A 24,794-nucleotide genomic window follows, 5' to 3' on the forward strand; every position below is an offset into this window, starting at 1 on the left:
ATCAATTAATCAATTGCTCAGTTACATAGCTATTGTTAAACTGGGATTTTAAATCCCGGTATTCTGGCTCCAGAGCCCAGGCTACTAAACGTTACATATACTATCTCTCCATTATAAAACTAAGTATAATATTGTGTTTGCTTTTGTTTTTTTTTTGAAACGGAGTCTCACTGTCACCCAGCCTGGAGTGCAGTGGCACAATCTTGGCTCACTGCAGCCTCTGCCACCTGGGTTCAAACGATTCTCCTGCTTCAGCCTCCCAAGTAGTTGGGATTACAGGTGCCTGCCACCATGCCTGGCTAATTTTTGAAGTTTTAGTAGAGATGGGGTTTCACTATCTTGGCCAGGCTGGTCTTGAACTCCTGACCTCGTGATCCACCCACCTCGGCCTCCCAAAATGCTGGGATTACAGATGTGAGCCATTGCGCCCAGCCTATGTTTGCTTTTTAAAAGGATATACGTATGTCTTAGAATTATACCATATATATTCATAGGTTAATGGTTTTGTAATTGAAATAGTAAATTGCCGAGACCAGCTCGGTCTGGGAGACCCTAACCCAGCAGCGCTAGAGGAATTAAAGACAGACACACAGAAATATAGAGGTGTGGGGTGAGAAATCAGGGGTCTCACAGCCTTCAGAGCCGAGAGCCCCGAACAGAGATTTACCCACTTATTTGTTAACAGCAAGCCAGGGATGAGCATTGTTTCTATAGATTATAGATTATAGATTACCTAAAAGTATTCCTTATGGGAAACAAAGGGATGGGCCAAAATAAAGGGATGGGTTGGGCTAGTTATCTGCAGCAGGAGCATGTCCTTAAGGCACAGATCACTCACGCTATTGTTTGTGGTTTAAGAAAGCCTTTAAGCGGTTTTCCGCCCTGGGTGGGCCAGGTGTTCCTTGCCCTCATTCCAGTAAACCCACAGCCTTCCAGCGTGGGTGTCATGGCCATCATGAACATGTCACAGTGCTTCAGAGATTTTGTTTATGGCTAGTTTTGGGGCCAGTTTATGGCCAGATTTTGGGGTGCCTGTTCCCAACAGTAAATCATTTGATAGGGATAGAACTAATTGTAATTTAAACCTCTCTGCCTATATCCTCTCACATGGTCTTGGCATTTTAATTGCTCATTTGAGTACCTACTATGAGCAAGATGTTTTAGAAATATTCTGTAGTCCATCAACTTTGCAGTGTAGCTATGGTACTAACATTGCTGTTACAGATCACAGGCTCTTTGGCTCCCTATGTAATAAAAATTAACACAGAGCTATACAGTTTTCCCAGATGAGGCTTTTATTTCAGGGTTTATCCACAAATGCAAGGGAGACAGTACAGTAGTAAGAACTCTGCGGCTGACCCCCAAAAAAGCTGATGGGGACTTTTTGATTAGGCAAAGCATGGGAATTGACATCAGGGATAAGGTATGCAGGCTGCGCTGGGTAAAGCACATGAAGGGTACAGTATGTGGTCAGCATCTGTGGTTGCAGTGGTTATCATACTTTAAGTTCTGGGTTAAATGTGCAGAACGTACAGTTTTGTTACATAGGTATACATGTGCCATGGTAGTTTGCTGCACCCATCTACCCGTCACCTACACTAGGTATTTCTCCTAATGTTATCCCTCCCCTAGACCCCAACACCCCACAGGCCCTGGTGTGTGATGATCGCCTCCCTGTGTCCATGTGTTCTCATTGTTCACCTCCCACTTATGAGCGAGAACATGCAGTGTTTGGTTTTCTGATCTTGTGATAGTTTGCTGAAAATGATGGTTTCCAGCTTCATCCATGTCCCTACAAAGGACATGAACTCATCCTTTTTTATGACTGCATAGTATTCCGTGGTGTATATGTGCCACATTTTCTTAATCCAGTCTATCATTGATGGACATTTGGGTTGGTTCCAAGTCTTAGCTATTGTGAATAGTGCCACAATAAACATACATGTGCATGTGTCTTTATCATAGAATGATTTATAATCCTCTGGGAATATGCCCAGTAATGGGATTGCTGGGTCAAATGGTATTTCTAGTTCTAGATCCTTAAGGAATCGCCACGCTGTCTTCCACAATGGTTGAACTCCCACCAACATTGTAAAAGCATTCCTGGCTGGGCGCGGTGGCTCACACCTGTAATCCCTGTAATCCCAGCACTTTGGGAGGCCAAGACAGGCGGATCACGAGGTCAGGAGATCGAGACCATCCTGTCTAACACGGTGAAACCCCGTCTCTATTAAAATTAGCCAGGCATGGTGGCTACTCAGGAGGCTGAGGCAGGAGAATGGCATGAACCCAGGAGGTGGAGCTTGCAGTGAGCCAAGATTGTGCCACTGCACTCCAGCCTGGGAGACAGAGCGAGACTCCATCTCAAAAAAAAAAAAAAAAAAAAAGCATTCCTATTTTTCCACAACCTCTCCAGCATCTGTTGTTTCCTGACTTTTTAATGATCGCAATTCTAACTGGTGTGAGATGGTATCTCATTGTGGTTTTGATTTGCATTACTCTAATGACCAGTGATGATGAGCATTTTTTTATATATCTGTTGGCTGCATAGATGTCGTCTTTTGAGAAGTGTCTGTTCATATCCTTTGCCCATTTTCTGATGGGGTTGTTTGCTTTTTTCTTGTAAATTTGTTTAAGTTCTTTGTAGATTCTGGATATTAGCCCTTTGTCAGACAGGTAGATTGCAAAAATCTCCCATTCTGTAGGTTGCCTGTTCACTCTGATGATAGTTTCTTTTGCTGTGCAGAAGCTCTTTAGTGTAATTAGATCCCACTTGTCATTATTGGCTTTTGTTGCCATTGCTTTTCTTGTTTTAGACATGAAGTCTTTGCCCATGCCTGTGTCCTGAATGAAGCCCAGGTTTTCTTCTAGGATTTTTATGGTCCTAGGTGTTATGTTTAAGTCTTTGATCCATCTTGAGTTGATTTTTGTATAAGGTGTAAGGAAAGGGTCCGGTTTCAGTTTGCTGCATATGGCTAGCCAGTTTTCCCGACACCATTTATTAAATAGGGAATCTTTTCCCCATTGCTTGTGTGTGTCAGGTTTGTCAAAGATCAGATGGTGGTAGATGTGTGGTGTTATTTCTGAGGCCTCCGTTTTGTTCCATTGGTCTATATATCTGTTTTAGTACCAGTATCATGCTGTTTTGGTTACTGTAGCCTTGTAGTATAGTTTGAAGTCAGGTAGCGTGATGCCTCTAGTTTTGTTCTTCTTGCACAGGATTGTCTTGGCTATGTGGGCTCTTTTTTGGTTCCATATGAAGTTTAAAGTAGTTTTTTCCAATTCTGTGAAGAAAGTCGGTGGTAGCTTGATGGGGATAGCATTGAATCTATAAATTACTTTGGGCAGTAAGGCCATTTTCACGATATTGATTCTTCCTATCCACGAGCATGGAATGTTTTTCCCTTTGTGTCCTCTCTTATTTCCTTGAGCAGTGGTTTGTAGTTCTTGAAGAGGTCTTTCACATCCCATGTTAAGTTGTATTCCTAGGTATTTTATTCTGTTAGTAGCAATTGTGAATGGGAGTTCACTCATGATTTGGCTCTCTGTTTGTCTGTTATTGGTGTATAGGAATGCTTGTGATTTTTGCACATTGATTTTGTATCCTGAAACTTTGCTGAAGTTGCTTATCAGCTTAAGATTTTGGGTTGAAATGGTGGGGTTTTCTAAATATACAATCATGTCATCTGCAAACAGAGATGATTTGACTTCCTCTCTTCCTATCTGAATACCCTTTATTGCTTTCTCTTGCCTGATTGCCCTGTCCAGAACTTCCAATACTATGTGGAATAGGAGTGGTGAGAGAGGGCATCCTTGTCTTGTGCCGGTTTTCAAAGGGAATGCTTCCAGTTTTTGCCCATACAGTATGATATTGGCTGTGGGTTTGTCATAAATAGCTCTTATTATGAGATAATAAGAGATACATTCCATCGATACGTAGTTTATGGAGAGTTTTTAGCATGAAAGGCTGTTGAATTTTGTCGAAGGCCTTTTCTGCTGTTGAATTTTGTCGAAGGCCTTTTCCGCATCTTTTGAGATAATCGTGGTTTTTGTCATTGGTTCTGTTTATGTGATGGATTACATTTATTGATTTGCGTATGTTGAACCAGCCTTGCATCCCAGGGATGAAGCTGACTTGATCGTGGTGGATAAGCTTTTTGATGTGCTGCTGGATTCGGTTTGCCCGTATTTTATTGAAGATTTTTGCATAGATGTTCATCAGGGATATTGGCCTAAAATTCTCTTTTTTTGTTGTGTTTCTGCCAGGGTTTGGTATCAGGACAATGCCGGCCTCAAAATGAGTTAGGGAGGATTCCCTCTTTTTCTGTTGATCGGAATAGTTTCGGAAGGAATGGTACCAGCTCCACTTTGTACCTCTGGTAGAATTTGGCTGTGAATCCATCTGGTCCTGGACTTTTTTTGGTTGGTAGGCTATTAATTATTGCCTCAATTTCAGAATCTGCTGTTGGTCTATTCAGAGATTCACCTTCTTCCTGGTTGAGACTTGGGAGGGTGTATGGTCCAGGAATTTGTCCATTTCTTCTACATTTTCTAGTTTATTTGCATAGAGGTGTTTATAGTATTCTGATGGTAGTTTATATTTCTGTGGGATCGGGTTGATATCCCCTTTATCATTTTTTATTGTGTCTGTTTGATTTTTCTCTCTTTCTTCTTTATTAGTCTTGCTAGCGGTCTATCTATTTTGTTGATCTTTAAAATAAACCAGCTCCGGGATTCATTGATTTTTTTTTTTTTTGAAGGGTTTTTTTGTCTCTATCTCCTTCAGTTCTGCTCTGATCTTAGTTATTTCTTGTCTTCTGCTAGGTTTTGAATTTGTTTGCTCTTGCTTCTCTAGTTCTTTTAATTTGATATTAGGGTGTCGATTTTAGATCTCTCCTGCTTTCTCTTGTGGGCATTTAGTGCTATGAATTTCCCTCTACACACTGCTTTAAATATGTACCAGAGATTCTGGTACGTTGTATCTTTGTTCTCACTGGTTTCAAAGAACATCTTTATTTCTGCGTTAATTTTGTTATTTACCCAGTAGTCATTCAGGAGCAGATTGTTCAGTTTCCATGTAGTTGTGTGGTTTTGAGTGAATTCTTAATCCTGAGTTCTAATTTGATTGCACTGTGGTCTGAGAGACAGTTTGTTGTGATTTCTGTTCTTTTACATTTGCTGAGGAATGTTTTACTTCCAATTATATGGTCAATTTTAGAATAAGTGTGATGGGATGCTGAGAAGAATGTATATTCTGTTGATTTGGGTCGGGGAGTTCTGTAGATGTCTGTTAGGTCCACTTGGTCCAGAGCTGAGTTCAAGTCCTGGATATCCTTGTTAATTTTCTGTCTCATTGATCTGTCTAATATTGATGGTGGGGTGTTAAAGTCTCCTGTTATTATTGTGTGGGAGTCTAACTCTCTTTGTAGGTCTCTAAGAACTTGCTTTACGAATCTGGGTCCCCCTGTATTGGGTGCATATACGTTTAGGTTAGTTAGCTCTTCTTGTTGAATTGATCCCTTTACCATTATGTAATGGCCTTCTTTGTCTCTTTTGATCTTTGTTGGTTTAAAGTCTGTTTTTAATCAGAGACCAGGATTGCAACCTCTGCTTTTTTTTTTTGCTTTGCTTTCGCTTGGTAGATCTTCCTCCATCCCTTTATTTTGGGCCTATGTGTGTCTTTGCACATTAGATGGGTCTCCTGAATACAGCACACCAACGGGTCTTGACTCTATCCCATTTGGCAGTCTGTGTCTTTCAATTGGGGCATTTAGCCCATTTACATTTAAGGTTAATATTGTTATGTGTGAATTTGATCCTGTCATTATGAGGCTAGCTGGTTATTTCGCCCATTAATTGAGGCAGTTTCTTCCTAGCATCGATGGTCTTTACAATTTGGCATGTTTTTGCAGTGGCTGGTACCGGTTGTTCCTTTCCATGTTTAGTGTTTCCTTCAGGAGCTCTTGTAAGACAGGCCTGATGGTGACAAAATCTCTCAGCATTTGCTTGTCTGTAGAGGATTTTATTTCTCCTTCACTTATGAAGCTTAGTTTGGCTGGATATGAAATTCTGGGTTGAAAATTCTTTTCTTTAAGAATATTGAATATTGGCCCCCACTCTCTTCTGGCTTGTAGGGTTTATGCGGAGCGATCCGCTGTTAGTCTGATGGGCTTCCCTTTGTGAGTAACCTGACCTTTCTCTCTGACTGCCCTTAACATTTTTTCCTTCATTTCAACCTTGGTGAATCTGACAATTATGTGTCTTGGGGTTGCTCTTCTTGAGGAGTATCTTTGTGGTGTTCTCTGTATTTCCCGAATTTCAATGTTGGCCTGCCTTGCTAGGTTGGGGAAATTCTCCTGGATAATATCCTGAAGAGTGTTTTCCAACTTGGCTCCATTCTCCTCGTCACTTTCAGATACACCAATCAAACGTAGATTTGGTCTTTTCACATAGTCGCATATTTCTTGGAGGCTTTGTTCATTTCTTTTCATTCTTTTTCCTCTCATCTTGTCTTCTTGTTGTATTTCATGAATTTGATCTTCAATCAATGATATCCTTTCTTCTGCTTGATCAAATCGGCTATTGAAGCTTGTATGTGCTTCACGAAGTTCTCGTACTGTGGTTTTCAGCACCATCAGGTCATTTAAGCTCTTCTCTACACTGGTTATTCTAGTTAACCATTCGTCTAAACTTTTTTCAAGGTTTTTAGCTTCCTTGCGATGGGTAGAACATCCTCCTTTAACTCACAGAAGTTTGTTATTACCGACCTTCTGAAGCCAACTTCTGTCATCTCGTCAAACTCATTCTCCATCCAGTTTTCTTCCCTTGCTGGTGAGGAGTTGTGTTCCTTTGGAAGAGAAGAGGTGTTCTGGTTTTTGGAATTTTCAGCCTTTCTGCTCTGGTTTCTCCCCATCTCTGTGGTTTTATCTATCTTTGGTCTTTGATGTTGGTGACCTATGGATGGGGTTTTGGTGTGGATGTCCTTTTTGGTGATGTTGATGCTACTCCTTTCTGTTTGTTAGTTTTCCTTCTAACAGACAGGACCCTCAGCTGCAGGTCTGTTGGAGTTTGCTGGAGGTCCACTCCAGACCCTGTTTGCCTGGGTATCACCAGTGGAGGCTGCAGAACAGTAAATATTGCTGCCTGATCCTTCCTCTGGAAGCTTCATCGTAGAGGGGCACCTGCCTGTATGAGGTGTCTGTCAGCCCCTACTGGGAGGTGTCTCCCAGTCAGGCTACATGGGGGTCAGGGACCCATTTGAAGAGGCAGTCTATCCATTATCGGAGCTCAAATGCCATGCTGGGAGAACCACTGCTCTCTTCAGAGCTGTCAGGCAGGGACGTTTAAGTCTGGAGAAGCTGTGTGCTGCCTTTTGTTCAGATATGTCCTGCCTTCAGAGGTGGAATCTAGAGAGGCAGTAGGCCTTGCTGAGCTGCAGTGGACTCTGCCCAATTTGAGCTTCCCTGCTGCTTTGTTTACACTGTGAGCATGGAACCGCCTACTCAAGCCTCAGCAATGGCGGTCACCCCTCCCCCCACCAAGCTCCGGTGTCCCAAGTCAATCTCAGACGCTGCGCTAGCAGCAAGCAAGGCTCCGTGGGCGTGGGACCCACCGAGCCAGGCACAGGAGGGGATCTCCTGGTCCGCTTGTTGCGAAGACAGTGGGAAAAGTGCAGCATTTGGGCTGGAGTGTATTGCTCCTCCAGGTATAGTCACTCATAGCTTCCCTTGGCTAGGAAAGGGAAATCCCCTGACCCCTTGCACTTCCTGGGTGAGGCGACACCCTGCCCTGCTTCGGCTCGCCCTCCATGGGCTGCACCCACTGTCCAACCAGTCCCAATGAGATGAACCAGGTACCTCAGTTGGAAATGCAGAAATCACCTGTCTTCTGTGTCGATCTTGCTGGGAGCTGTACACCAGAGCTGTTCCTATTTGGCCATCTTGGAAGTGACTCAGTTGTTCAGCTTTATTTTCCAAGGTGGGACACTCCACAACCTTGGTTTGATACTTAGATTTCCTAAGTAAAAGGCATGGTTACACATGAGAGCACAGAAGAATGGCTATTTTCTTTGTATAATTAAAGCCTTGGGGTTAGCGGGTACATCACCAGCAAGGTAGTGATTTGGGTTTTCTGATCAGTGGGACAAGAAAAGGAAAAAAAAAAGGAAAAACATGTGAAGGAGGAGCCGCATCGAATTCCTGTTCTCATTTCTAGTTAGAAGCCTGAGAAGTTGAGAGGTTGAGTAACTTTATACATTATACATATTTTGGTTGGCAGAGCTGGGGTCTGGGGCTAGGCTTTCTGGGTCCAGTACTCTCTTTAGACTTTTGTGTCTTTGTAACAGTAAAACCCCTATTATATGTTTTCTTGGGAAAATGGTAGCTGTGTTTCTGGTTAACTTAATGTCTCCTATGGTGTCTCTTCTCTTAAGACCCTACTCATGTACCAAATTGTTATTGAGCACCTATAATGTTCTGGGCTCTAATCTAGACACCCATATCTCAGATTGAACAAAACCCAGACTCAGAAAACACTTTGGAAAATGCTTTTAAAGGGGAAATAAACCTAAGACAGTCTACTCCCAGGATATATGGAATTTATGGAGTAATACTTAAAAATTTTTTAAGTAATATCTGTTGGCCAGTTATTATCAAGAAAGATAGTTTACCATTGACTAAGCCAAGATTGTTCTGATGGATTGTCAGTGCTGACAGCTTTGACCAGACTATTTTACAGCTCACTGCATCATCCTGGTTACCATTATACCATTATCATGCTATAATCCTTTTCAGAGTCATACTTTATAGGAGCTATACTAAGCTTCTTTAGGAGAAGGTTTCATGATATCTGCCCTTCACACTTCCAGGGCAAAGTTGTTTCTTTTCTGTACAATAGCCTTGATCCTGGGACTTCAAGTATGTATATATGCTCTTGGCTTTGGGTTTTGTTTTTTTTTCTGCTACTCTCAATATAGAAGTGGAATGGCTCTGTGTTCAGATAGGAATATTCCAGGCTCTTTGTGTTTCATGACAAAATGTCCCTTAAACTTTGAGTGTCTTTTTTTTTTTTTTAATAATTAAAGAGTCTTTTTAAATCATTACATGTTATCTTTACTTCAGGTACATGCTTGAAAATTCAATCTCAAATTGTCTTTCAAAAGTTTGAGGCATGCCAGACACGGTGGCACACGCCTGTAATCCCAACACTGGGAAGCCGAGGCTGGAGGATCGCCCAAGCCCAGGAGTTCAAGACCAGCCTGAGCAATGTGGTGAAACCCCATTTCTACAAAAAATACAAAAATTAGCCAGGCATGGTGGCGTGCGCCTGTAGACCCAGTTAGTCAGGAGGCTGAGGTGGGAGGATTACCTCATCCCTAGGAGGTTGAGGCTGCAGTGAATTGGGATTGTGCCACTGCACTCCAGCCTAGGCAACAGAGTGAGGCCCTGTCTCAAAAAAAAAAAAAAAAAAAGTTTGAAGCGATTGATATTAAAGCGTTATTTCAGTGTTCACTGGCCAGTCATTCCTCTAAGCTGTCTCATTTGTCAGTTAGCATATTTCCCCAAGTGTGCGGAATACCATTAGTGTTCAAGATGATTTGAAGAACATACATTTTGGGGGAGTAGAATAGAAAAATAGGCCAGGCTCAATGGCTCACAACTGTAATCCCAACACTTTTGGAGGCCGAGGCGGGTGGGTTGCTTGAGTCCAGGAGTTCGACATAACAGAACCCTATCTCTACAAAAAAATACAAAAAAAATCTGGGTGCAGTGACATGTGCCTGTAGTCCCAGCTACTGGGAAGGCTGAGGTGGGAGAATCATCTGAGCCCAGGAGGTCAAGGCTGCAGTGAGCCGTGATGACGCCTACTGCCCTCCAGCCTGGGTGACGGTGAGACTCTGTCTCAAAAAAAATAAAGAGAGCAAAAAAATTTTTTATATGACCAGTTTAATTTATTTGAGGAGAAGAGGAAACTGACATATCAAACTCTTGGTTTTATGCCAGATGAAACGTTAGTTGATTTAAAGGCAATTTAAAGAAAAATATTAAGTGATTTGCAACAGAGATGTTACAAGAGATGGCTAAAATAGCAAGGATGGTATACAAATGGCAAACATTTTGAAAGCATTGGTGTGATGATTCAGCACAGATATGAGTCCTGAGGCGCTTCTTGGTTTTAGTGGTTTAGCTCTGACTTCATTAAGATGATGTAAATTTATTCCATTTAGAAAATTCCCAAAGTCTTCATAACCACTTAACTCTTGCTGCCTTTAATACCTGTTAGTAGTAGCCAGTTACTGAGAATAAATTGGTGTCATCTGAATGTACTGAGCTCAAACTGTAACAAGTTAATCTATCACATGCAGACAGCAATGTTTCAATGTCCAGTTTGTCTTTTATTACTGTTACATTTGGATCCAAAGTTTATTTTAAAGGGCTAACACAAAACAACTGTTGGTCCTGTAAATCAAAAAGTATCTGAGACAAGTCTCAATCAATTTTGAAGTTTATTTTGCCAAGGTTAAGGACATGCCCATGACATATCCTCAGAAGGTCCAGACAACTTGTGCCCAAGGTGTTCGGGCTACAGCTTGGTTTTACACATTTTAGGGAGACAAAATATCAATCAATACATGTAAGATGTACATTGGTTCAGTCTGGAAAGGCAGGACAACTCAAAGCAAGGGGAATGGGGGGCGGGCTTCCCGGTCATAGGTAGATTCAAAGATTTTCTTATTGGCAGTTGATTGAAAGAGTTATTATCTAAAGACCTGGAATCAATAGAAAGGAATGTGTGGGTTAAGGTAAAGAGCTGTGGAGACCAAGGTTTTATCACGCAGATGAAGTCTCCAGGTAGCAGGCTTCAGAGTTGTTTTTGTTTTGTTTTGTGTTTTGTTTTGTGTTTTGTTTTGTTTTGTTCTTATTAGACGAAGTCTCCCTCTTGTCTCCCAGGCTGGAGTGCAATGGTGTGATCTCGGCCCACTACACCCCTCACCTCCTGGGTTCAAGCGATTCTCCTTCCTCAGCCTCCTGAGTAGGTAGTATTACAAGCGCCTGCCACCACGCCCGGCTAATTTTTGTATTTTTTTGTAGAGACGGGGTTTCATCATGTTGGCCAGGCTGGTCTCGAACTCCTGACCTCAGGTGATCCACCCACCTCAGCCTCCCAAAGTGCTGGGATTACAGATGTGAGCCACCGCACCTGGCCCAGAGCTCTTATCAGACCTAAAAAGGTGCCAGACTCCCCTGGATCAGGGAAAAGACCTGGAAAGGAATGGAGAGTCTCTACAGAGTCGATTATTCCCACAAGAGACAGCTTTGCAGGGCCGTCTCAAAATATGTCAAAGAAACATATTTTGGTGTAAAATACAATTTCTTTCAGGGCCTGCCATCTGCCATGTGATGCTTTACAAAAGTCAAGCTGGAATTTGGTGTTTTATTCCTACAAAAAGTCTGTTACCTGGGTCTTAAGATCTCTGTTTTTTTGTTTGTTTGTTTGAAATGGAGTCTCGCTCTGTTGCACAGGCTGGAGTTCAGTGGCGCGATCTTGGCTCACTGCAAGCTCCGCCTCCCAGGTTCATGCCATTCTCCTGCCTCAGCCTCCCGAGTAGCTGGGACTACAGGTGCCTGCCACCACATCTGGCTAATTTTTGTATTTTTAGTAGAGATGGGGTTTCACCGTGTTATCCAGGATGGTCTTGATTTCCTGACCTCGTGATCCGCCTGCCTCGGCCTCCCAAAGTGCTGGGATTACAGGCGTGAGCCACCGCACCCGGCCAAGATCTCTGTTTTAATGTTAATACTGGTCAGCTATGCCTGAATTCAAAGGGAGGTGGGTATGAGGCATGCCCAACCCCCATTCCCATCATGGCCTGAACTAGTTTTTCAGGTTAACTTTGGAATGCCCTTAGCCAAGGGGAGGGTCCATCAGTCAGTTGGCAGATGGGGGGTGGGGTGCTTAGAACTTTATTTTTGGTTTACAATCCCATTGTGTAAAGTGTATACTAAGAAACCTCTATGATTTTTATAGAATATATTGAAGTACTTGTGGGGCCTGGAGAGTGAAGTGGGCACCACGGTCATATGAGTCCTCCCTTGTTTGCAAGGAAAGCTTAATTGTAGAGCACTGAAGTCCAGGTTTTTGTCTGACTCTCCCCTCCCCAGCCATCATACCTGTCTACTGTTGAATTACTCTCCTTTTATTCTCCCCACCAGTCCCTCCCCTTCTACCTTTATTTGTATGTGCAAGGAAGATTTGAGGGAAACAACTAAATTTTTAAAGAGTCTGAGTAGAAAAACAATGGTTTTCAAGAAACTGAAACTTTGGTTTCTCTGTCCTATAGGCCTCATTTTCCTTTCTGCAATATCATCGGGAAGCACCCTGTTTAACCTGCTTCATCAACCCCACGTTCCTTCTAGAATTGCTCTTCAAGCTTTTTTCTATTTTATGTTTCCACCTGTGCTCTTTGTCAATAATTAATCAATTGTTTACCTCTGAAATTTCTCAGTGTACAGTGTCTTACTGTTCTAGAAAATCTTTTCATTTAAATTCTTATTCTGTATAATACTCAAATTAGAGAATTGCTGAAAATGTGAAGTTTAACATTTTTTTGTATCTGCTTAAATCAGTGACCATTATGCTCTGTTTGTAAAATACCCCATTCATCCTCCTGTCACCAGCTGTTGTTGCCATTCAGTTGCATGTCAGTGTCATCCCGGAGATCCTCATTCTCATTAAGCCTTATATGCCGATTTTTCCTTTTTTTCAGTCACCCAATAAACCACAGACTCCCAAGCTATCTCTGTCTCTTGCATTTTCATGATCTATGGCCCTGTTCACCATCTCCTACCCACCACCCTCCCCCACCTACCCACCGCAATCCTTTCCACTTTGCCCTCTGGGACATAGTGAGATGGCAGCAGCAGGATGCCCTGTAGCCTCAGCCTCTTCTCTGAACTTTCCTTTTTCCTTCCCCCACCCACCTTTTCCTTTTTTGCTGTGACAAAACCTGACTTTGTCCTGAGCTCACTGCTTCTCCCACCACCTTATCAGGTGGTGCCTTTTTTCCTCTACAAAGGCACCCTCTTGTACCATTGGGTCAGGAAACAGGATCAGTACCTTGCTTATTATTGCCACTTCCAGAAATTCTCCCTCCCTCTTCCATAGAAACCCCCAGTTATCAATCCCAGATCATCAGAGTGGACTACCCACCAACCCTCCTCTTTATAATCATCTACAGACACCCCAATCTGTCCTGAAGGTTTTCCCTTGAAAAAACTATCTTCAGTAGCTCTTCTCTCAAATCCTTAGTGATGTTAGTATCCGTGTGGGTAGTCCTTTAGATACCCTGTTCTCCCAGTTCCCTGGCCTCCTCTTCCACTGAGCTTGTCCTCCACCTCATCACAGCCACTCATTCACATAGTTGTAGCTAGACCTATCCTTCCTTACCCTCGTGCCAGCTCTTCAGTCTCATTTCAGGCATCTGACTCTGACCACCACCTCCTCTTTCCAGTTCACTCCCTCTCATACCTCACTCCATCATTTCTTCAACTTCGCCAGACCTATGGTCTGTTGATATTCCCATCTGTTCAGAGTCCCACACCTCTTCCTAGCTTCCAGTCTACCTTTCTGGTCGTTGTAGCAAAATTTCTCAGTAAAGAGAAGACTTGGTTCTCTTCACTGTCTCTAATTTCTTTCCTCCCATATGAAACCCACTCCAGTCATGCTTTCCCTATTATGACTCCACCAAAACTGCTATTGCCAAGGTCCAGTGACTTTCTGAATCCAGGGATCAATTTTCAGCCCTTGCTATACCCTATAAGCCTTTGACAGAATTGATCACTCCCACTTCCTGAGTAGCCTTTGTTCACATCGCTTTCAGGACTCTTTGGGTTTTCTTTCTACCTCGGTGGTCACTTCTTACTCAGCTTCTTCACTCAGGGGCCAGTAGGCATCTCAAAATATAACATCAAAAACTAAACCTTTTTTTTTTTTAGTAGAGTCAGGGTCTCACTGTGCTGTCCAGGCTAGTCTCTAACTCCTGACCTCAAGCAGTCCTCCAGCCTAGGCCTCTCGAAGTGCTGGGATTACAGCATGAGCCACCATGCCCACCCTAAAACCAAACTTGATCTTACCTGCAGATCTTACACATTCCTCTTTATCTCAGTAAAAATCTCCTCCAGTCTTCCATTTGCTCAGATGAAAAATCTTGGAGTTTTCTTGTTCCTCTTTCTCAAAGCTCATGTCCAGTATTAGCAAATTATGTTGGTTTTATGTCAGTATATATCTAGAATTCAACCACTTCTCATCACCTCCACTATTACCACCTACATCAAAATCATCATCTCTTGCCTGGATGTCACCTCATGGGTCCCCTGCTTCCATCCTTGCCTCTGCCACTCCCAGTCTTTTCTCAACCCAGCAGCCAATATGATCCTTACAGTTAAAATTTAAGTCAGTTTGTAAGTTAAATCATGTCACTTGGTAAAACCCAAAGTCCCCCAAATCAGTTCTGAGGCTCATACTCATCTAGGGATAGAAGTAAATCCCGTGTTAGCATCAGTTAATACCTGTGCTTGTACTTAAATCTTATTTTTCTTGTTTTCAGTAAATTATAGTGACATCTTTTGGATTAAATTGTTACCTTTACAATTGATATTGACATTTCTCAAGACACCAAAAGATTATATGAGATTTTTTTCTCAAGAATTGCAAAAATCTGTGGTGCAGCTTGACATTTTTATATTCATTTTTTGCTAAACACATTGTGTATTAGATCTAAAGAGTGTCCTTTGTCATGATTCAAGGTTTTTATGAAAGAGACATTTTGCTGTAAATCTGTACTGCCCGAGAAGAAATTGTATCCCTCTTTTCCCTTATGACTATCCTATTCTTTCCAAACCAAAAACCACAAGTTAATAAAATTGAATTTGGACCTCTTTCCTTGAATGCCTATTACAAGCCAAGCACTGTCCTTGACATTATCTCCTTTAATTTCCGTAAACAATTCTGTTATGTAGCCTCACTTTTGAGGTTGGGAACAGAGGCTCTGGGAGATTAAGTACCTATTCTATTCAAGGTCACACAAGTAAGTGATGAAGCTGGGGTTGAATCCAGGTATGACTCTTGATATACACCCTGCCTGACCAAAGTGACTGTTTAACTGGTTTTGTAAGTTAATTTGTCACTGGTAAAACATTGAACACCTACTGGTTCCTTAGATGTAATGGGCATAGACAAGGAAGAAATTCAGTGTTTAAATCAGTTAAGAAAGCTGTGATTCTAGGCCCTACTAACTACAAAGCTTTCAATATTCTTTTATTTTTTCCACTTAGTGACAAATTATTCTTTAAAAATCTTGCCATTGGCCTCTGCCTCTTCAACTTACACTAATAGTTCTTTTTTTTTTTTTTGAGACAGAGTCTCGCTCTGTCGCCCAGGCTGGAGTGCAGTGGCACGATCTCCGCTCACTGCAAGCTCTGCCTCCCAGGTTCACACCATTCTCCTGCCTCAGCCTCCCAAGTAGCTGGGACTACAGGCACCCGCCACCACACCCGGCTAATTTTTTGTATTTTTAGTAGAGACGGGGTTTCACCGTGTTAGCCAGGATGGTCTCGATCTCCTGACCTGGTGATCCACCCACCTCGGCCTCCCAAAGTGCTGGGATCACAGGTGTGAGCCATCGCACCCGGCCAACTTACACTAATAGTTCTAAAATGAAGCCATGTCTATAAATTGTTAACACTTGAGGCAGAGAGGAAGTGAGGGATTGAGTAACAGAACTTTAAAAATCATTCTAAAAATTCTACATGTTCACATTTAATTGCTCAAGTCTCTGTGATGTGATTTGACAACAAGCTGTCTTACAATCATGTGTTTGTCTTTACAGTGATCCTGCCATGAAGCAGTTTCTGCTGTACTTGGATGAGTCCAATGCCCTGGGGAAGAAGTTCATCATTCAAGACATTGATGACACTCACGTCTTTGTAATAGCAGAATTGGTTAATGTCCTCCAGGAGCGAGTGGGTGAATTAATGGACCAAAATGCTTTTTCCCTTACCCAGAAATGAAAATACTCAATATGGACCATTTAGGAATTATAAGCAGCAACTGTGAAAGACTTGCCACTCAATATCTTAGGTGACTGATTAGACATAGAGGGTTGTTTTAGGAGCATGCCACGGGAAAGACTGAGGGATCATGATCATTTGTTCAGAAAAAAAGCCCCTGAACTGATTTTGTTACCATAGAATTTAAAAAAAAAAAAAGCTTTAACAGTTGGCTGTAATTTGGCTTTTATTATCCTTTATTAAAATACAAATGTCAATGCTTTTCCTGCCTTTTTAATACCATGTCAGTGTAACATAGGTATTTATTTTGCTCATCCCTGTGATCTGTGCATTTTTGCTGCGTGGATGTGATTGTTTGGTTTCAGTTAGAAACGTCATAGATTTGCTGTTTGAATATGCCAAGGTGGGGACTTAGACATTATGTACGTCTCACAAATCCTACCTGCATACCAGTCAGCTCTATTGAGGAAGACAATGTAAAACTAATGTAAACTACAGTTTGCATTTCCCTGAAAACAGAATATTGTTTTTAAGAGGGTTAGAAACAACCAGTGGGAAAGGCACATGCTGCTTTGTTTAGTTTTTCCTTGTTCAAACTTTGTTGGTCACATTTTCCCATCTGTATTCTTTTTTATTAAGAAAACAGCTTAGGGAGGCTGAGGTGGGAGGATTGCTTGAGCCCAGGAGTCCGAGGTTGCTACAAAAACACCATTGCACTCTGGCCTGGACAACAGAGAGACCCTGCCTCAAAAAAAAAAAAAAAAAAAAAAAAAATTCTACTTGTACCTTATTCCCTATGAGAATACTTATCAAACTTATCTAAAAAAGAAAAATAGGAACAGCCATATGCAAAGTCAGCCCAACAGGAAAGGACATATTAGATTAAAATACATTGCGGCCTGGGCTTAGTGGCTCACACCTGTAATCCCAGCACTTTGGGAGGCTGAGGCAGGCAGATCGCTTGAGTCCAGGAGTCGAAACCCTGTCTCTACAAAAAAAAAAATACAAAAATCTGCCTGTTGTCCCAGCCACTGGGGAGGCTGAGGTAGGAGGTCAAGGCTGCAGTGAACCTTGATCATTGCTACTGCCACTCCAGCCTAGGTGACAGAGTGAGACCCTGTCTCCAAAAAAAAAAGTGTATATGTATGTGTGTATATATAGCAAGAGAGAGTTCTGTGATCAATTGAAGGCAAAAACAGTAACACTGAGAGGGGCTTTGCTTCCCTTCCTGAAGATCATGTCATTGGGGTGGGTTCCTGTAAAGGGAATTTTCCAAGAGAAAAGAGAATTTTCATGACCTGTAGACTCTTACAAATCCATTTTACCTGCTTCCTTATGGTATGTTTATTCAAAGCACCTGTGTACCATATTTATTCACTTACACAGCATTACTGAATCTGGAAATTTTCAGTTAGGTATATTTTACATAATTCCCACCCATATAACTCAGTCCATACAGTTCACAGTTTTCATTCCCTCATAGCAATGCAAAAAATTTTGATGAGTTACTACTACTAAAACTAGTTAAGTAAAAGATGATTCTTAAGAATTTCCAGGCTGGGCACGGTGGCTCACGCCTGTAATCCCAGCACTTTGGGAGGCTGAGGCAGGCAGCTCACGAGGTCAGGAGATCGAGACCATCCTGCTCGGTGAAACCCCATCTCTATTAAAAATACAAAAAATTAGCCGGGCCTGGTGGCGGGTGCCTGTAGTCCCATCTACTCAGGAGGCTGAGGCAGGAGAATGGCGTGAACCCGGGAGGCGGAGCTTGCAGTAAGCTGAGATTGTGCCACTGCACTCCAGCCTGGGCGACAGAGGGAGACTCCATCTCAAAAAAAAAAAAAAAAAAAAATGAATTTCCAGCTATACCAAAATGTTACTAATGTATCTTATATTTCAGGCATGTCTAAATCAACTTTTAGTATGCCTCAGGCATTTGTCACCAACCTTTTATATTAACATGAAACTTAGAAAATTTTTGATAGAATCCCAGAGTTCAAAAGGTATTAGGATTTTTGCCACTGAAGTAAAAAAGAGAAAAAAAGATATTTATGAGAAAACTATTGAACAGTGACTGTGTTGTACCCGAGCAAGTTAGAGGAACGCCACACTTTGAGACGAATTTAAAAGTCCTTTATTTAGCTGGCAGCCAAGAGGTGGCTCACACTTGGAATTCTCTCAGCTCCGAGGAAGGGGCTTGATTTTCCTTTATACTTTGGTTTAGGAAGGGGACGGGAGCTCAGTTGCAACAATTCTACAGAAGTAAAAACATGCAAAAAATTAAAAAGACAAATGGTTACAGAGAAACAAACAGTTCCAGGTGCAGGGGCTCTAAATCTATCATAAGATGTCAGGTGTGGGGGCTCTGCCAGACACAAACTCAAGGCTTTATGGTGTATCTCTTGAGCGAAATCCTGGGAACTTCGTACATTGCTTGCTTCAGTACCTTATGAGTTAATTGGACTCTTTGATATGTTGAGAGTCAGCTTACACAAGTTAACTCCTTGAGGAAAGGGGGTGGGTAAGGAGTCCTTGATGTCCTGTAAATGAAGGAACCAAATGGAGTTCCTCCGGCTTTCTCAGCTAAGGGAGAGCTTATTCACATGGAAACAAGGCTAGGTGATTAAGGGAGAAAGGGACAGTCTGAAAACAAGGTTAGTAAAAACAAGGTTAGGTATTAGAACTGCAAAGAGTATTAAGTGAAATAAGTGAAGGAAAATATGAGCTCTTATTTTTAAAAAGTTGTGTTGGGGCAAATGTTAAATATCTTTCTTTCTCTGGACATTATTAAGAAAGATAGAGTGATGTGAATGATAGGAAGCCCACCTGTAACCACTTAGCTGACATGTCCAACTATGGGTGAACAGGAAATAAGCGACATTCACCTAGGCTGTTTATTGGAATCTGACTAGCATTATTTGATTTGGCATACTTTACATGTCCAGAACAAGGCTGTTGGTGCTTGGCACCAAGAAATTTATGACTTTTTTTTTTTTTTTAAATAAAGTCCTAAAGGTAGCATTAAAATGACTTAACTGGAGGCAGGAGGATCACTGAAGCCCAGGAGTTTGAAGCTGCAGTAAGCTAAGAAGGTGCCACTGCACTGCAGCCTGGATGACAGAGTGAAACTTTGTCTCTTAATAGAACTATGGACTGAAGTTGTGATATTGAGTGTTATATTTCTCAATAAAGGTTTTTTCTTTTAATACTGTATTAGGTCAAATTCAAGGTCTTAATTCCTTGAATTCCAATTTCCTTGTGAAATTTCATGTGATTAATTTAAAATTCCAGGGATCCTATCTAACATCACAGTTGATGGATATAACAATGTATTTTGAGAAATCAGTTTTGGTGAACAGTAACAGCATTACTGATAATAGGCAACAAACACTACTGCATTTTATTTCTGATAGGCATTATAGGTGGTAATCCAAATGATTAATGATTTTATTGCTCTTTACATTTTCTAGAACAGGTGATTTGACATAATTGTACTTTTTTCTGAGAAGTTGGTAGTGTACTTACTACTCTATTTTGCAGTTATACAATAAATCTTACTTAGCTGACAACTAGGAGTAAAAGCTCTGACAAAAAGCCTCTGCTGTAACTAAAATACTGAGATCATTCTATCTTAACAAACTTAACAGATGGGGAAGGGGTATATTTTAAAGATGGAGAAATGATGCAGTTTGCAAATATAGTCAATAAATATTCTCAAGTGTACGTAGCTCAATTTCATTTGCAGCAAAGATAACACTGAAATGTCTATGGATGAGATTATTGGATAAACTTTTTTAAAAACACTGTTCTCAAGATAGGCAAGTGATTAAGAGCACTGACTGGGCCGGGCGCGGTGGCTCACGTCTATAATCCTAGCACTTTGGGAGGCCGAGGCGGGCAAATCACAAGGTCAGGAGATCAAAACAATCCTGGCTAACAAGGTGAAACCCCGTCTCTACTAAAAATACAAAAAAATTAGCTGGGCATGGTGGTGGACGCCTGTAGTCCCAGCTACTCGGGAGGCTGAGGCAGGAGAATGGTGTAATCCCGGGAGGTGGAGGTTGCAGTGAGCCGAGATCGTGCCACTGCACTCCAGCCGGGGTGACAGAGCGAGACTCCCACCCATCTCAAAAAAAATAAAAATGAAAAGCACTGATTGAATCTAGATTCCTTGAGTCCAAGTGTCAGATCTCTGCTTACTAGCTCTGGGATCTCAGATGTTTCGTTGATTGGATTTCTTTGTGCTCATTTGTGTAAACAGGAATGCCCGTCTTTAAAGACTATTAAAATGAATGTGAGTTAACACACAAGAGGTCTTCAAAAAGTTGATGGAAAATGCATATTATGAAAAAAATTATGCATAGATTTCAAAAATCTTTGCAGCAAAATAAACTCATCATTATAACATGTCTGAACAGGATCTAGTTTGAGGCACTAAGAAGGATATCAGTTTAAATAGAGCCCCTGTCAGAACAATATGAATTCTGCTAAAACTGAAGCAAGAACAAACATCAAATTTATGGCAAAGCTTAGGTGGAAGAATGGTGCAATCATTGATGCTTTGCAAAAAGTTTATGGGAACAACGCCCCAAGGAAATCAGTTTACAAATGGATAATTCATTTTAAGAAAGGACAAGACAATGTTGAAGATGAAACCTACAGCAGCAGACCATGCCACTTCGTGAGGAAAAAATTATCTCATTCATGCCCTACTTGAAGAGGACCAATGATTAACAGCAGAAACGATAGCCAACACAATATGCTCCTCAGTTGGTTCAGCTTTTATAAATCTGACTGAAAAATTAAAGTTGAGCACACTTTCCACTCAATGGATACCAAAACCATCCAGCCCAGGTCAGCTGCAGACAAAAGCAGAGCTTTCGATGGAAATGTCAAACAAGTGAGATCAAGATCCTGAAGCATTTCTTCAAAGAATTGTAGCAAAAACAGACTTTTAAAACCTTGAATTCAGAGACAGGTATAAAGACTGCTTGGTGATTTTGAAAGGACTGAGATCATTTTGGGAGAGATCATCTTCAGAAAATGACCAGATACAACAAGAATTTAACATGGCAGCCAAACCAACCCACTAACACACATTTAAATAAGATACCCAAATGCAGAAAGAAAAGCACAGTCGTCATGCAAAATAGTCACTACTCATTCAAAAACTCTATAGTTGTCTGAGTCGTTATGCTCAAAATATCCAATAATATTTCTTTTGCTGAGCTGTAAAATAATTATTTTGCAAACATAAAAGAAAAAAAAAAGAATTGTAACAGAAACATGGCTTTACCAGTATGACCCTCAAGACAAAATACAAAACAATGGCTACCAAGAGGTGGAAGTGGCCCAGTCACAGCAAGAGCAGATTGATCAAGAGCAAAGGTCATGGTAACAGTTTTTTGGATCCTCAAGTCATTTTGCTTGTTGACTTTTTGGAGGGCCAAATAAAGATATCATCTGCTTATTATGAGAGTGTTTCGAGAGAAATCCAAAGCTTAGCAGAGAAACGCCTGGGAAAGCTTCACCAGAGGGTCTTCCACCGTGACAGTTCCCCTGCGCATTCCTCTCATAAAGCAAGGGCAGTTTAGCTAGAATTTCTATCAAAAATCATTAGGTATCCATCTCCCAGTCCTGATTTGGCTCCTTCTGACTTCTTTTTGTTTCCCAATCTTAAAAAAATCCCTGAAGGGCACCTGTTTTTCTTCAGCTAATAAAAAAGACATGGTTAATTTCCCAGGACCCTCAGTTCTTTAGGGATAGACTGAATGGCTGGTATCATTGCTTGAACTTAATGGAGCTTATGTTGAGAAATAAAAGAAATTATATTTTATTTTTATCTTTTAATTCTATTTTTCCATGAACTTTTTGAAGTCCCCTCAGATATAAAGCAGAACGTTATGAAACTGAGTTACCTTGAATCTAGAAGAGTACAATGATAAAGGGGAAGATAGAAACACACACATATGCGTTGTTTTCCCCACTTTCACAATGCCGTGCAGAAACTAACAGATGAAGGAGGAGAATCCCTAAAAACAGAGCATTGGGTAGCTAGTCCACCAGCGGTCTGATGCTTTCATTGATCTCAAAACTGTCTCTGAGTAACTCTACCAGGAAAGTTGTCTGGAGGGTTAACATTTCTGAAACCATTTTTATCTTTGCCTTCATTCTTGAATGATAATTAGTCTCGAATGTTTGGATCACAATCCATTGAAAGACTAGGCTATTTTTTCACTGTCCTCAGACATTTACTGAGTCCAGTTTGGACTTTATTTTATTTTATTTTTTTTGAAACAAGATCTCGCTCTGTTGCTCAGGCTGAAGTGCAATAGCGCAAACTCGGCTCACTGCAACCTCCCAGGTTCAAGCAATTCTCGTGCCTCAGCCATCCCTATAGGCATGCGCCACCACACTTTGCTAATCTTGTATTTTTGGTAGAGACGGGGTTTGCACCATGTTGGCCAGGCTGGTCTCGAACTCCCAACCTCAAGTAATCTGGCCTCCCAAAGTGGTGGGATTACAGGCGTGAGCCAGCGCGCCCGGCCTGGACTTAACTTCTGAAGAACTCTTTCTGTTTAGATTGCAGGAGCGTTCTCTCGGCTCATCTCTTGTTTTCTCACCCAGCTGTTCTTCTTCTAGTTGGCCATCATTCTTCATCCCTCCCTCCCTTTCCTGCAGTTAATTATTTCTTTGAAATTTTAAAACTTCTTAATGTTGCCTGGAATACATGAGTCTTCCTGATCTCTTCAAACGGGGTTTGTTTTGTTTTGCTTTGGGGAGAATTCTTTTGACGTTTTTGAATAAGCTGTTAACAACTTTAATACCTGTCTTGTTTGTTTTCTTCAGAAATTTGTTAATTCTCCATGATTAGCACCTTTATGTGGTTATCTCATTATTTTCATTCCTTTTTAATTCTCTGTTTTAGGAATGCTTGTCAAATTCGTCACTAAAATTGATTTACTTTCTTGAAAACCTGTTTCTGCTGCTCCCAACATGATTTAATCTTGGCTACTGAGCTTTTGGTTACGTTGCACTCCCTTTAAAATTACTCCGTTTAAGTACAGTGTTCACTCTTTGGGTAATGTGTACAATAGAAGCCCAATCCCCACCTATACCCAATATATCCATGGGACAAGCATGTACATGCACCCCCTGAGTCTAAAATAAAAATTTTAAAAAAACTATATCTGTCACAGCCTGTTTTTATTTTTAATTGAAGTTCTCTTTTTATGAGCGATACACATTCATTGCAGGCAGATTGAAAAAGGGAAACAAAAGAAAATACAACTCAACCATAATCCCACCACTCAGGAGTAGCCACAATTAAAATGTTAATAACAGGCTGGGTATGATGGTTCACACCTGTAATCCTAGCACTTTGGGAGGCCAAGGCAGGAGGATCCCTTGAGCTTAGGAGTTCCAGAACAGCTTGGGTAACATAGACCTTGTCTCCACTAAAAAAATCAAAAAAATTAGGCCAGGCGTGGTCTCACACCTGTAATCCCAGAACTTTGGGAGCCCAAGGCGGGTGGATACTTGAGGCCAGAAGTTCGAAACCCACCTGGCCAACATTGCGAAACCCCATCTCTACTAAAAATACGAAAGTTAGCCAGATGTGGTGGTGTGCACACACAGCTACTGGGGAAGCTGAGGCATGAGAATCGCTTGAACCCAAGAGGCAGAGGTTGCAGTGGGCTAAGATGGCACCACTGCACTCCACCCTGGATGACAGAGCATGACTCTGCCTCAAAAAAAAAAAAAAAAAAAAAAGACCGGCATGATGATGCATGCCTGTAGTCCCAGCTACTGGGGCTGGGGGAGGTGCTGAGGCAGGAAGATCGCTTGAGCACGAGGTCAAGGCTGTAGTGAGCCGTGATTGCACCACTGCACTTCAGCCTGGGCAACAAAGTGAGACCCTGTGTCAAAAAACATTTTTTTTTTAGACGGAGTCTTGCTGTCTCCCAGGCTGGAGTGCAGTGGCACGATCTTGGCTCACTGCAAGCTCCGCCTCCCGGGTTCACGCCATTCTCCTGCCTCAGCCTCCCAAGTAGCTGGGACTACAGGCACCCACCACCACACCCGGCTAGTTTTTTGTATTTTTAGTAGAGACGGGGTTTCACCGTGTTAGCCAGGATGGTCTCGATCTCCTTACCTCATGATCCACCCGCCTTGGCCTCCCAAAGTGCTGGGATTACAGGCGTGAGGCACCACGCCCAGCCTCAAAAAAAATTTTAAAAGCTAATGACAATCTTCACTTTTTTAAAGAATATAAAAAGAGTTTTGGCTGGGCGTGGTGGCTCACGCCTGTAATCCCAGCACTTTGGGAGGCCAAGGCAGGCAGATCACGAGGTCAGGAGATCGAGACCATCTTGGCTGACACGGCGAAACCCCGTCTCTACTAAAAATACAAAAAACTAGCCGGGCGTGGTGGCGGGCACCTGTAGTCTCAGCTACTTGGGAGGCTGAGATAGGAGAATGGCATGAACCCGGGAGGCAGAGCTTGCAGTATGCAGAGATCACGCCACTGCACTCCAACCCGGGCAACAGAGCAAGACTGTCTCAAAAAAAAAAAAAAAAAAAAAGAGTTCTACTCCCTATCCCAATGAGATCACACTGCTTTGACACTTGCCTTTTCCCTTAATTTTTCATGCTCCTTTATGAAAAACCTGAAGCAGGATTTCTATTTCAGAGGAAAGTTTTTTTTTCTGATTTTAGATGGGGAGC

The 24,794-nt window shown here is 41.8% G+C and overlaps 1 protein-coding gene across 1 annotated transcript in view, besides 3 other annotated features; it reads left to right on the plus strand.

Moving 5' to 3' along the window:
- The window catches only part of GTF2H5 (general transcription factor IIH subunit 5), a 30,995-nt gene extending 7,741 nt beyond the window's left edge, over positions 1-23,254 (plus strand). Inside the window, exon 3 of the mRNA NM_207118.3 lies at positions 15,887-23,254. Coding sequence (NP_997001.1) covers positions 15,887-16,067 — 181 coding nt within the window. The 3' untranslated portion in view covers positions 16,068-23,254. The remainder of the gene's footprint in view (positions 1-15,886) is intronic.
- Positions 7,114-7,618: an enhancer, noted in NCBI's record as "H3K27ac-H3K4me1 hESC enhancer chr6:158604236-158604740 (GRCh37/hg19 assembly coordinates)". NCBI's record gives its function as "activates a minimal SCP1, AML or CMV promoter by ChIP-STARR-seq in naive H9 embryonic stem cells {active_cell/tissue: H9 hESC(naive)}" and the evidence as "EXISTENCE:reporter gene assay evidence [ECO:0000049][PMID:30033119]".
- Positions 7,619-8,121: an enhancer, noted in NCBI's record as "H3K27ac-H3K4me1 hESC enhancer chr6:158604741-158605243 (GRCh37/hg19 assembly coordinates)". NCBI's record gives its function as "activates a minimal SCP1, AML or CMV promoter by ChIP-STARR-seq in naive H9 embryonic stem cells {active_cell/tissue: H9 hESC(naive)}" and the evidence as "EXISTENCE:reporter gene assay evidence [ECO:0000049][PMID:30033119]".
- Positions 18,281-18,881: an enhancer, noted in NCBI's record as "OCT4-NANOG hESC enhancer chr6:158615403-158616003 (GRCh37/hg19 assembly coordinates)". NCBI's record gives its function as "activates a minimal SCP1, AML or CMV promoter by ChIP-STARR-seq in naive H9 embryonic stem cells {active_cell/tissue: H9 hESC(naive)}" and the evidence as "EXISTENCE:reporter gene assay evidence [ECO:0000049][PMID:30033119]".

This window comes from Homo sapiens, chromosome 6, assembly GCF_000001405.40.
Source record: "Homo sapiens chromosome 6, GRCh38.p14 Primary Assembly".
Taxonomy (NCBI): Eukaryota; Metazoa; Chordata; class Mammalia; order Primates; family Hominidae; genus Homo; species Homo sapiens.